Source organism: Homo sapiens, chromosome 3 (assembly GCF_000001405.40).
Source record: "Homo sapiens chromosome 3, GRCh38.p14 Primary Assembly".
NCBI classification, from domain to species: domain Eukaryota; kingdom Metazoa; phylum Chordata; class Mammalia; order Primates; family Hominidae; genus Homo; species Homo sapiens.
Window position 1 is genome coordinate 28,513,663 of NC_000003.12, and position 14,490 is coordinate 28,528,152.

The 14,490-nt window shown below is 35.3% G+C and overlaps 1 protein-coding gene across 4 annotated transcripts in view; it reads left to right on the forward strand.

Moving 5' to 3' along the window:
* The window catches only part of ZCWPW2 (zinc finger CW-type and PWWP domain containing 2), a 177,638-nt gene extending 164,942 nt beyond the window's left edge, over positions 1-12,696 (forward strand). For 3 of the 4 annotated variants that reach the window (NR_136708.2, NM_001040432.4, NM_001324169.2), the window contains 4 exons: positions 402-460; positions 1,892-1,959; positions 7,330-7,454; positions 10,865-12,696. Coding sequence is in view for 3 of the 4 variants with exons in the window: in NM_001040432.4 (NP_001035522.1) it covers positions 402-460; positions 1,892-1,959; positions 7,330-7,454; positions 10,865-11,026 (414 nt within the window). In the remaining variant the exon portion in view is untranslated. The remainder of the gene's footprint in view (positions 1-401; positions 461-1,891; positions 1,960-7,329; positions 7,455-10,864) is intronic. The other variant, NM_001324170.2, reaches the window with a different exon arrangement.
* Positions 12,697-14,490: the final 1,794 nt, after the last annotated feature.

A 14,490-nucleotide genomic window follows, 5' to 3' on the forward strand; every position in this document is an offset into this window, starting at 1 on the left:
GGCCCTCACTATGTCAGTTTCCACCTATATATTAATAGCTTTGCATTTCATGTGCTTCTGGCATTTGATTTTTTTTTCTTTATCTAAAGGTTATATATGTGTGTACAACTTTAACGTGTTTTTATTACTATTTTTATGTGTTTGTGAAGTTATGTAAGGGAGAGTGGATAATATGGGAGGTAGGCATCCAAATCAAATCAGTTTAGCACTCCTGAAAGATGAGCTGATCCATGCAATTGCCGTGACTATGCAGTGGTTGACTAGACGTAAAGATGTTGTTTAGGGTTATCAGCCGGGGTGTTTCTTCTGACCAAATTACTTGAACTGCATGGGACCCATTATTTTACTGAGCTGATTTAGTCCTATATGAACTAACTCATATTTTTGTTTTTGTGTTATAGAAGCAGACTTCTAAAAATAATATTGAAAAGAAGAAGCCCAAATTTAGAAAAAGGAAAAGGTATGCTTTTTGAAATTAAATAGTATTATGATAAAATTGAAATATATATTGGATTTAGTTTAGAAACACCCCGGCTAATAACCCTAAACAACATCTTTACGTCTAGTCAACCACTGCATAGTCAGGGCAATTGCATGGATCTGCTCATCTTTCAGGAGTGCTAAACTGATTTGATTTGGATGCCTACCTCCTATATTATCCACTCCCCCTTACATAACTTCATAAACACATAAAAATAGTAATAAAAACACGTTAAAGTTGTACACACATATATAACCTTTAGATAAAGAAAAAATATCAAATGCCAGAAGCACATGAAATGCAAAGCTATTAGTATATAGGTGGAAACTGACATAGTGAGGGCCCAAAAGAAATTTGTACCAGGATAAGGGGCCAAAGGAGTTTGAGCTGGGCTTTATTGGAAACAGAATCTCACAATCCTTGATTCTGTTTCACTTGGAAAATACTGTGTTTACAGTTTTCTAAAAGAATTAATAGAATTATAAGTAGTAGTCTTAGAAGTACGGAAAAAGCTTTATATTCATGAAATATTTTGAAACAGAACTTTTAAAGATTAATATCTTATGAGCAATCAGAAGAGAATGAGGTTTTTAGTTTAAAAATAGTTAATGTAAACCAGAAACAGGTTTTCATAGTGAACAAATAAGCCACAGATGACAAGTTTTAGTGTTTATCGTTGAACCAGTCATTTTTTAAAGAATGGTAATCAGTGCTGTGTTAGGAGGGGTCCTACTCAAAAACAAGGACTGACACCAATAGGTAGCCCTTCTTTGTACTTTTTCAGAAGATGAATAACTAAATTTTAAAAATGGACTTCCACTGCCTTATTTCATTACACTTCACAGTAACCCTATCAAATTGTTAGGAAGTATATTATAATCTCCATTTTAAAAAATGAAGAATCCCTAGCTTGGAGAAGTTAGTGACTTTCTCAAGACCTTATGGTTAGAGAAAGTACATTTGAGCAAACTTTTTTCTGACTCTGTGTCAGCAACATAGAATTGTGGAAACAGTATGGATTTTGCAGTCTGAGAGAGTTTAGTTCTACCATGTTCCACCATTTACCTAAGTTGTCAAATTTCTTGTTTTTCTCTGATACCTCAAATTCTCAGTTTCTTTATATAATGACAGTAACAATTAGTAGGTGTTTTGGAGGAGGATTATGAAAAAGCCAGTGTAAGGTGCTTGGTAAATTGTTAATGCTTTGCACCTAGTGAGAGCTCAAATCAGTATTAGTCTTTTTTGTTTTTCACTGCAACATACTTTGTTACTACATAAAACAACCAAGAGAATTACCTTTAGAAAATATATGCATTTATAATCTACAGTTACCAATGAATAGGCACAAATGGTCATTTAAATATTCATGATTGATCTTTTGAAACTAAATCTGTCAAATTCTTTTTCTAGGAAAGCAATTTTAAAATGCTCTTTTGAAAATGTTTATTCTGATGATGCCTTATCAAAGGAGAACAGGGGTATGTGAAAGCCTGTCCTGCTTTTAGTTCTTTAACCTATATATAATTCCACAGAATGTAGTTGTAGTCCTTTGAAGGAAAAAAAAAGATTTCCTGTGTGTGTGTGTGTGTGTGTGTGTGTGTGTATACACATATATACATGTGCGTACATATGTATACATTTTTACACATATATATGTGTGTGTGTATATATACACATATATATGAGAAATATTAATGAATCATTTTTGTTACTGATTTACATACCAGGGCTTTTAAATTTTCTTTAGGTTTCTATTTCCTTGAATTGAATTTTCTCTGTCTCAGTCATGTATTTAATTTTTTAAAATAACACACCAGCCAGGCACGGTGGCTCACGCCTGTAATCCTAGCACCTTGGGAGGCCAAAGCAGGAAGATGACTTGAGGTCAGGAGTTCAAGACCAGCCTGGTCAACACAGTGAAACCGGTCTCAACTAAAAATACAAAAATTAGCTGGCCGTGGTGGCATGCACCTGTAATCCCAGCTACTCTGGAGGCTGAGGCAGGAGAATCACTTGAGCCTGGGAGGCGGAGGTTGCAGTGAGCCGAGATCACACCACTGCATTCCAGCCTGGGCGACAGAACAACAGAATGACAGAACAAGATTCCCTCTCAATAAATAAATAAATAAATAAATAAATAAATAAATAAATAAATAAATAAAGCACCAGCAGCTGTGGGAAGAAATACCAACAACTATACATTTCAATCCAGACTTCTTCATTCCAAACTTACTGGGATCCTAGGAGTGCCAAAGGGAGAGAAGAAAGAAAAGCAGAAGACTGGGGCTTCCAACTAAATTGTCGTTGGTTAGAACACAGTAGAGTGAATGTGGAATGCAGGGAGAAAGTTTTAGTTTTCAAAGGCAATTTCCTCCTTCTACATTTTCTTTAGTCTTGAAAAGCAGTGAAATGCTTATTTGCAATGTGGAACTTTGGCAGTCATGTTCAAAGCCCATTAAACCCTGAGGAGTTATCAGTGATATATTCCCTTTTCCTTGAAGCCACTCCCAGGGGATCCTATGGCATTGCATTTCAATTGGCTAAATAAGTCAGTCGTTGTAGTCTTATTAAAAGAAAGGAAAGCCAGGTGCAGTGGCTCATGCCTGTAATCCTAGCACCTTGGGAGGCTGAGGTGGGAGGATCCCTTGAGCCCAGGAGTTAAAGACCAGCCTGGGCAACACAGTGAGACCTCATCTCTACTAAAATTAAAAAAAAAAAAATAACTGGGCATGGTGGCACATGCCTGTAGTCCTAGCTACTGGGAAAGCTGAGGTGGGAGGATCACCTGAGCCCAGGAGTTTGAGCTTGCAGTGATCTATGATCACGCCACTGCACTCCACTCTGGGTTACAGAAAGGATGAAGTAGTTATTTTTAAAAAATAACTTCTTTTTTTACATCCAGAATGTAAAGTAGGAAAAGTTTTAGACTCTAACACCTTTCTTTTAGAAAATAAAAGAAAACTAAGTACTTTTTCCTCCTCATCACCCTTCTCTTTTATTAAAACACTTTCAGAATTTCAACATTGACATAGCCGTGCAAATTTATTTAGGATTTTTTTTTCAGTGCCAGCTTTGGGGTAACCCAACCAGTAGCTACTATATAAGGGAATGTGTTAGTCTGTTCTTGCATTGCTATAAAGAAATACCAAAGACTGGGTAATTTATAAGAAAAGAGGTTTTAATTGGCTCACAGTTTTGCAAGCTTTCTAGGAAGCATGGTGCTTGGCTCCTGGGAGCCTTCCCAGAAGGCTTATAATCATGGCAGAAGGTAAAGGGGGAACAGGCATGTCATATGGCAAAAGCAGGAACAAAAGAGGGGAGAGTTGCCACACACTTTTAAATGACCAGATTTCATGAGAACTCACTCACTATCACCAGGACAGTACCAAGGGGATAGTACTCAATCATTTGTGAGAAATCTGCTCCCGTGATGCACTTACCTCCTACCAGGCCCCACTTCCAACACTGTAGATTACAATTCAACATGAGATTTGGGCAGAGACACATATCCAAACTCTATCAGGAGGAAACAGCTTCTTAAACATTTAATAGATAAGTCGAGGTGAAAGAAAACTCCATAAATTTTGTATTTGAAAGTTTTTAAAATAGTGACTGAGTTATTGAGACAAACTGTGAGTTATTTCTTATCAGGAATGGAAAAACAACACTGATTTATTTTCTACACATTAATTTTTAAAAACTAGATATGGGGCTGGGCATGGTGGCTCACGCCTGTAATCCCAGCACTTTGGGAGGCAGAGGCAGGTGGATCACCTGATGTCAGGAGTTCATGACGAGCCTGGCCAACATGGTAAAACCCTGTCTCTACTAAAAATACAAAAATTAGCTGGGTGTGGTGGTACGTGCCTGTAGTCCCAGCTACTTGGGAGGCTGAGGCAGGAGAATTTCTTGAACCTGGGAGGTGGGGGTTGTGGTGAGCCAAGGTTGTGCCACTGCACTCCAGCCTGAGTGACAGAGTGAGACTCCGTCTCAAAAAAAAAAAAAAAAAAAAATCTAGATATGGACTTCGCTACTACAGATACATATTTTTTCTTTCATTTCTTTTTTTTTTTTTTTAACTTTCTCTGAGTAATGGAGTGGCCGTAATGCTACCACTTCACTCTCAACAATAAATTGAAACAAGTCAGAGAAACTACAAGATAATCAGTGTTGACAGAAGATGATTGGTCATGCAATCAGCAAAGGCATTCATTTTGTCCGTATCTTTGGAGGATATCACTGACCAATTTTGATAACATAGTTTGTAGATTAAGGTAACTGCTATTTTTTGAGAATTATTTTTTAACTTCATTTACAATATAGGAATACTTATTTAGAAAAGCAAACTTCCCACTGCTCTGGAAGCAGAAGCTGACAGCAGTCAGGTTGGTGTTGTAAACCCTAGTTGACTTATGAAGTCATCCATTACTTTGTCTAATTTTGATCAAAAGGCAGTGTACATATTTCTTCAGATCACTTGAAAACAGAGAGCCTACAATGCCATTTCGCAATGATATTTATTATCATAAACTGATTGTATTTTAGCCTGACATTAGAAATATAAAGATGTTTGTTTGCCGTTTTTTCTTTTACAGCATAGCTTCAAATCTATCTTCTCAACAGTGTATTAAATGTCATTGTCAATTTCCATAGACTCAGAATGTAAAGTAGGAAAATGTAACATTTGTGAGTGGAACTGGGGAATTGGTGTGAAAATAACCATGAGCAGTCATCTATTAACAGGTTACTAAATAAGAAATCTGTCTTAAAGAGGGCGTTAGTTTTATTAACAAAAGTGCTTCAATAAAAAACTTACATTCCTCTAGAAAATCCTGATTTGATAGACATGACATTGTTATATTTTTAAATAAACTCCCCAGGTGATTATTATGCCCACACAATTTTGAATGCCACTGTTTTAGAATCTAGCATTCTATACTTTGTGTTCTTAGGCCTTAGCAGTAACCCTAGAACACAGATCTATGTGGATGCAACTAACATGTTAATTACAGGCTTTGCTTGTTTGTTTGTTTTTAAACATGAGAACATTTTATAAGATGTGGAGTTGCTTATCAGAAAGCTTGTTTCAAACTATTTTGAAAGAGGTTTTCCATAGAGAAAACCTGAAATTGACTAGAAGGAGGTGATAGCTAGGAAGGCTTATTAGTCTATGCCTATTTTCTTGTGTTCCTGCCCCTTAGTAGGTAAACAGTAAATATTTGTTGATTGAGTATGAAAGTGCTTGGGGAAAGCAGTAAATATTGACAGAAAAATTATTTTCAAGATGAACTTGTGTTATGAAAAATATAAACTTAAAGTAGTTTTCCAGTACTGTAATGACAACCAAGAAAGGGAAACCTATCATAACCTGCTATGATTTTATTTAACATTATTTAATAAGTACTTTAGCAGAATTTAAAATTTTCCTACTTATGTCCTGTTTGGGTATTTTCATTTTCCATGACCTTTCAGCTGCTCTACTAGGTGTGATTTTTGCTGACTTGCCCATGAACTGCAGATAATAGAAGGTGGTATATTAGATTTTACTAAAAAGTGGAAGATGAAGGGATGTGTACTCACAGCCTTTCTCTCTGAATTACGTTGTTTTTGGAAGAGCTTCTTAGATGCTCCATCTGCCTCTGGTGCAAGACAGCAGGCCACATGTGGCCTCCTTTCTTTGAAGCAAAGGCTTCACTAGGCCCTATATCAAATGAAAATGTTTGTTTTATTTAAGTCAAGAACTCAAATGCATATTTTTAATCAGTAGTTAAGTCTAGAGTTATAGTAGGCTTTTATTTCTTTGGTGGGGATATTGTTTTATCTCAGCAAGGTCAATGAATTACCAGATTTTTTTTTTTTTGCCTATTTTTTTTTTTTTTGAAATGGAGTCTTCCTCTGTCGCCCAAGCTGGAGTGCAGTGGTGTGATCTCAGCTCACTGCAAGCTACGCCTCCCGGATTCACGCCATTCTCCTGCCCCAGCCTCCGGAGTAGCTGGTACTACAGGCACCCACCACCACGCCAGGCTAATTTTTTTGTGTTTTTAGTAGAGACGGGGTTTCACCATGTTAGCCAGGATGGTCTCAATCTCCTGACCTCGTGATCCACCCTCAGCCTCCCAAAGTGCTGGGATTACAGGCGTAAGCATGTCACAGTGACACAAAAAGACTTTTATAAATGCAGTATTTTTTTAAAATAAAATTAGATTAGGCAATTAAGATGTGTTGCAATTTGGATTGGGAAGGCACTAGCCTGTGTTCAGCCTAGCCACTTAATTACAAAACTTTTCCTTTTAAACAGTAGTTTAATAGTCTATAGTAGAGATTGGCAAACTGTGGTCACCAGCTGCTGCCTGTTTTTGTAAATAAAGTTTTATTGGAACATAGCCACTCTCATTTGTTTATGTACATGTCAATGGTTTGTGCTACAATAACAGAATTGAGTTTTTGTCACAGACCATCTGGCTCCCAAAGCCTGAAATATTGGCTCTCTGGCCCTTTAGAGAAAAATTTGCTGACACTTTTTCTATAAATAATATAATTTAGCTTGGTGCCCTTGGCCCCTAATTAAAAAAAAATTCTAATAAGCTTTTGATATTTCACTTCTACTTTATGGTTTATACATAGCAAGACTATCACCTACATTTTTCAAGGAAGAATTGTAAAAGACTCACCTTGAAATTCATAATAATTTTGTATCAGGAAGAAGTCATGTATGAAAATTATATGAAACATTTATATTTTACCTTGTAGCATTTAAAAGATTTCTTCTTTCTGGGTAGTTAAGATTATGAATTAGATTGAATTAAGTGAGATGTAGCATTTTTACTGTATTAATCCTGTTTTTTTAGTTGTCTGTGAGACGGAAGTTTTACTAAAAGAGCTGGAGCAAATGCTGCAGCAAGCACTGCAACCCACAGCCACACCTGATGAATCAGAAGAAGGACATGGAGAGGAAATAAATATGGGAGAAAAGGTAATATTGATAGTTATTTTCAGACCTAAATAACAACTTCAAATTCTTTAAACAGCAGAATTGTTCCTAGTTGTACATTTTAAATATATAAAAAACTCTTTTCATGTCTGAAATTTGAGTCCTTGATTATCATGAGGTAAATAATAAACTAGTAACCTGTTAAGAAATCAAAACACATCTATCAGGATTTGAAAAACAATCTGTGTTTAAGTAGAGGAGTTCTTTTAATTTTAAATCTTTGGGATTGGAGTGAAGAAAGATGGATGATGCTCACTATAGCTGAAGTAGGCCACTCCAGAGAGAATTCCTCCTTGCTGCCAATCTTTACAGTCAGGAGAGGGGGCCAGGATACCAAGAGCTCACTGGAAAATCTGCCCCGTCTGGATTATGTACCAAGATAATCTCTACAGGGACAAACCTTATCATTAACATACGGGAAGTAGAATTTTTCACTGGAATAAGTTTTACCATTTATATGTAGACTCCTCCTTTTTTAATTTTTTCATTTGGCTTTCTATGTTGAACTCAGAAAGGCCAAATGTGCTTACTTTATTCAGTGTCTCTGCAATAAAATGAGTTTGTGATACAAGGCTCATGCCATTAGTACAGAGCAGCGATGTGGTAGGTATGAGAAAAAGAAGTCATAGGGTAGACACTTTCACGTGGCAATGCAGCTGTTCCCTAACTAGGAAAAAAAATGGCAGTGAGGAGTTCTGTAACCTTAAGGCTTTATTCATTCATTCATTTAGGTACACAATGTGCCTGGAGTCAAGAGAGCATATTGACACTGACTCTGAAATATAATCCTGTGTCCCAATCCTGGTCCTGCCAATAAGGACTTATGTAATTTGAAAAAGTGGCTTATCACTTACCTCAGAGGATTGTTTTGAGGATTAAATTTGGTAACAAACACCGCATGTTCTCACTCATAGGTGGGAATTGAACAATGAGAACACTTGGACACAGGAAGGGGAACATCACACACTGGGGCCTGTCATGGGGTGGAGGGAGAGGGGAGGGATAGCATTAGGAGACATACCTAATGTAAATGACAAGTTAATGGGTGCAGCACACCAACATGGCACATGTGTACATATGTAACAAACCTGCATGTTGTGCACATGTACCCTAGAACTTAAAGTATAATTTAAAAAAATGGTAAACCAGGAAAAGTGCTTTGCATAGGAACAAACACCCAAGGTTTGGCTATTATTAAAGACTGAAAATTGGCAATGGCAGTTGCTAGAGAGAATAAGTGCTTAGATTTTCTTACTTCATCTCTCTTTTCCCACATTCACAATTTGAGCAACTGCCTATCTCGAAGTCTGTCTGTTCCTAGATGTAGAAAAAGATGGATTTATAAATGGACAAAGGGGTTTATACCTTTAAGCAGACTGCCCAGTTGTATGATTTCATTCAGAATGTCAATAAAAATAGATTATTCGTAAACATGTCCTTTATTGAGTTAGAAATTAATAAAATATACAGAATGTACTACTATGGAGATTATTATGCTAAAGGAAAGTAATATTAACGTTAAGAACTCCTACTTAGTTGAAAAACATAACTTTCTTAATCAGCATCAGCAATATCAATTTTTACCTGAATGTTCATGGGTTGTAAATGCTACTTTTCCAGTTGGGTTCCTTTCCAAAAAAAAAGACTTGTTTTCTATGTATGGGTCTTTTGCAGAACAAGACCTGCAGATTGGTATCATACATCCTATATACGTATAATTAATATACAAATTATTCTTTTTCAGCAAATGTGTGTTTTATTCGAATACCATATGGTTTTGTGCAGTGTTTTTCAGTGTTAGCGGTTTCTTTTCAAAAATACAGCCAGATTGATCTTTATAGCGATGTCCTGGAGCTTTTATAGGCACAGAATTGACTTCTGTTTTGCCATTATAAGTAGTAACTTGATAGAACAGAGAAATACTTCTGATTTTTATTTCTTAAGGTAAAATACATAGCTTTAACCCATCACCAGGCAGGAGACTGCTTGTTGTTTTAGATTGTTGTATTATTTTATGCTTTCAAACAGCATTTCAGAAGTGTAAAAATTAGCAATTTTAACTGGCTAGTGTGCAGGTGAGTGCCTCCTGGTTACTGATTCATAAGCACTCTGCACCCTGAGCTTTGTAAGTCTGGCATTCATGCCAGATTCAGGATATTTGGGTTCTTGTTCACTTTTAAATGAGGAGAATAACAGTGAAACCAACTAGCAAAGCTGGAGAAATTTCAGTTTAAAAGTAAAGAAGTAATCACATGTTGGATTTCATTTATTTATTTATTTATTGTTATTAGAAATAATTAATATGTCTCCCAAAAACAACTCCACTTAAAGCTGGAGATGTGTTGTTTTTAGGGGAGGGTGGCCTCTTATAAGTTAAGTACTCCAAAGAGACCTCTAAGAATTTTAAAGTCCTGAGCATGTTGATTCTCTGAGCAGATATTGTATAAGCTGTTTTCAAAGTTGTAAATTTGATAATGTTTTCATCATTCATTTCACCTGTGAGTTTTCAATTGGATTATCTCAGGCATTTACATCAATGGATGAGAGTAAAAACATGGAAAAAAGCTTATACACATAGATAATCAAAACTCATTTCTATTTGTCATTGAAATGTTTTATGAAATTATTTTCCTACATAGAGTCACCTTCCTAATTATGTTCTTCTTAAGCTAATATTAACATTGGGTGACATGCCTTGACTTGGCAAGCAATCGGAGGAAATAAATTTTAGATTTTTATAAATCCACCTGAATAATTCACAAATTGAATAATCCATACACAAATAAAACAGAGTTTACTGAAAAATTATTTCTATAAAAGGGTACATTTTTGTTATGTGAAAATATTTATATGAACTACATATATACTTTTTCCCTTGAATTACATGGGAAGTGAACCCTATCTTTAATAAACTCTGAAGTTATAAATCAAATAAATCCACATATGCATTGTTTTTACTAGTATCCTTTCCCACTAAGCAAGAGCAAATTATCACTATTTTTAAGTAATGCAGATGACCTTTTGACAAGATGACCACAGAAAATGTGACTAAAACAGTCACATTTTAAGTTGTATTCCCTATAACAATAATGTAAAAAATAAAACAACATAGAAAACTCACATAGAATTAGAATTATCACATTTTTCCAGAGCATAAAATTAAAACTAAAAATGTATAAGGCTGGGGAATAGACACAGACCTAAATAATAACTTTTTCTTATATTAACACATTCATCCTGCATTATACTATATATAGTGATTATTATTTGAACACTAGAATAACAGAAAAGTTTGTGTAGCTAATGTGGCTTGCAGAATTACTACTTTATGTTTTGTTCAATAATCAGGTAAATTTGACATAGTTCCGATTAATTATATGGTTGTTTTGCAGTTATCTAAATGCAGCCCAGAAGCTCCTGCAGGCAGTCTGTTTGAAAACCACTATGAAGAGGACTATCTTGTAATTGATGGGATAAAATTAAAAGCTGGAGAATGTATTGAGGATATAACTAATAAATTTAAAGAAATAGATGCTTTGATGTCTGAGTTTTAGAACATTATACATTTTTCAAATTAATTATAAAAATATTGGCATCTTTATATTTATCCAAAGTTAAAACTTTAAAAATGTTTAGTGAAATAGGTATAAATTATACCAAAGTTTATATTTGCGGTAACTTTCTACTTCATATTTTGAGAATGGCCATGATTTTTAGAGCCAGTCAAATGGTATTTAAGTTAGTGTTAAAAATTTAGAATTAAAAAACCCTGATATTTGTATTTATATATTTCTTGTTTGCCTTAATTTTTAAATGGTTTGTGAAATTTGCCTAACAAACATATGTTTTACAATGATTGTTTAGGCCCTTTGTTCAAAAATGGATAACTTAAAATGGCTGGCCAAGCTATTATAATTCTCAGAGGTAATTCAAATCTAATAAACTTAGAGAATGTATATTTGCAGTGGAATCAAACTATTACAAAATAAAAGGAAATAATTTTTTAAATAATTGTTTAATAGAGTTGAAACTTTTCCTAAAAAGCAAAATTTCACTTGCTACTTCTACTGGAATCAGTTATTTCAACCATGGTACCCAAAACTGACTGCTTAATAGAGTCTCTGGGAGATTTTGGAAGATCAAAATCCTGGACCCTTCCCTGCTGAATCAGTGTCTTTGGAGGTATCATCAGGAAGATGGAAAAATGTAATTTAAAGTGTATAGAGAGAAGTTAAACATATTGATTATAAGAAATCTAACAATATAGAAAGTAAAAACTCATCATTTTTCAGGGATTCTCATGAACAGTTTTAGTAGATATCCTTCTAGATATGTGTGGGCATTCACACCTATCTTTAGTTCCTGCTCTATCTCTTTCTGGTGGTACGGGGTGGGGAAAAGGGCATTCCAAGCACATAAAAACCAAAGCTTGAGGAGAGAAGAAGTGCACGAGAGCATCACCACAGCGGTGAATTTTATTGTGAGTTGCCTCATATTGCTTTAACAAGGAGGCAGCACATGTCTAGATATTAAAAACAAATAAGACACCAAACAACCAACGTGTCACTCATTGAGTGGGTTGCTTCTTTTAAGTATTTTTAGATTCTATGATAATTACGTAGAGTGGAGAGTGGAGATAGACTCACAACGGTGAAATATCTTATTTGTCAAAGTAAAGTATGTATGTATTTCTGTCTTCCTTGTTTTCCTCATGTATTCCTTAGCATTCTGATATTGTGTCATAGGATGTTGAGTTGTAAAGCCTATCTGGGTTCATATTTTACATACTAGCTTGTCTTAAGTCATATAACCAGTAAATAGAAGGCCTGGAAGTTGAGTACATCTCTGTCAGGTTCCAGATCCCATGCCATTGATTATCATCTATAATGTCTTGATGAAGCTTTTAACTAGCTGGGTGGTGGAATGATAATCTAGTTTCCTCATATGTAAAATGGGGATGGAACTATGCAAACCAAGCACTGTTGTGAGGAATAAATGAGATATTTTTTGTGAAAGTGGTTTGTAAATCAATTTGATCTTCTGTTTACTCTTTGCAAAGAGAACCAAGTATGTGTTTAAATATATTGCAATTAATAATTACTGAGATAAAATGTAACTATACATTTGAAATGATCAGTTTTCTTTCTGTTATATCATTTAATCTACTACTCATCAATATCAGAGTTCTTTCTTTCTCATTTATAAAATTAATCTTTGGAAACCATCACAAGCAACATTATGATCTTCTGTCTATCTTTTAAGGTACAGCTCACTGTTGAGTTTTAGAAATGGCTTTAAATAACTTTGCTTTCTTAATAGACATTCAGTTAAAAAGTGAAAGGTGGGGGAAAGTCTTAGTTTTGATGAGTAGTGGCTGGTTTCTGTGTCATTTTGGATCCACTTCAGCAAATGGCCAAATGCCTTTTGCAGGAAAGCCATGCTGTTTTTAAGGATGTGTTCCTGCAGCAAGTTGGAATTTGGGCCCAGGCTCAAAATAACTTTTGAAAATCAGGAAGTTCACCAAAATATTTGATCAGCATTAGGCTCCTTCATTGTTGACGCTTCCTTATTATGACATGTAGTGAATTTCCATAAATCTTAAATTTTATGAAATGAACTTCTTGCAATTTGCAGAGGAAAAGGAGAAGTCAGGAGAGAAGTGTATGTATTTACTTTTATTTATTATACTTTAAGTTCAGGGATACACATGCAGAATGTGCAGGTTTGATACATAGGTATACACGTGCCATGGCGGTTTGCTGCACCCATCAACCCATCATCTACATTAGTTAGGTATTTATCCTAATGCTATTCTTCCCCTAGCCCCCCACCCCCAACAGGCCCTGGTGTGTGATATTCCCCTCCCTGTGTCCATGTGTTCATTGTTCAGCTCCCATTTATGAATGAGAACATGAGATGTTTGGTTTTCTGTTCCTGTGTTAGTTTACTGAGAATGATGGTTTCCAGTTTCATCCATGTCCCTGCAAAGGACATGAACTTATCCTTTTTTATGGCTTCATAGTATTCCATGATGTGTATGTGCCACATTTTCTTTATCCAGTCTATCATTGATGGACATTTGGGTTGGTTCCAAGTCTTTGCTATTGTGAACAGTGCTGCAATAAACATATATGTGCATGTGTCTTTATAGTAGAATGATTTATAATCCTTTGGGTATATACCCAGTAATGGAATTGCTGGGTCAAATGTTATTTCTGGTTCTAGATCCTTGAGGAATCACCACACTGTCTTACACAGTGTGGAACTAATTTAGTGGTTGAATTAATTTATACTCCCACCAACAGTGTAAAAGTGTTTCTACTTCTTCACATCCTCTCCAGCATCTGTTGTTTCCTGACATTTTAATGATTGCCATGCTAACTGGCGTGAGATGGTATCTCATTGTGGTTTTGATTTGCATTTCTCTAATGACCAGTGATGATGAGCTTTTTTTCATATGTTTGTTGACTGCATAAATGTCTTCTTTTGAGAAGTGTCTGTTCATATCCTTGGCCTACTTTTTGATGTTTTTTTTTTCTTGTAAATTTGTTTAAGTTCTTTGTAGATTCTAGATATTAGCCCTTTGTCAGATGGGTAGATTGCAAAAATTTTCTCCCATTCTGTAGGTTGCTTGTTCACTCTGATGATAGTTTCTTTTGCTGTGCAGAAGCTCTTTAGTTTAATTATATCCCATTTGTCAATTTTGGCTTTCATTGCCCTTGCTTTCGGTGTTTTAGTCATGAAGTTTTTGTCCATGCTTATGTCCTGAATGGTATTGCCTAGATTTTCTTCTAGGGTTTTTATGGTTTTAGGTCTTACACTTAAGTCTTTAATCCATGTTGAGTTAATTTTTGTATAAGCTGTTAAGGAAGGGGTCCAGTTTCAGTTTTCTGCATATGGATAGCCAGTTTTCCCATCACCATTTATTAAATAGGGAATTCTTTCCCCATTGCTTGTTTTTGTCAGGTTTGTCAAAGATCAGATGGTTGTAGATGTGTGATGTTATTTCTGAGGCCTC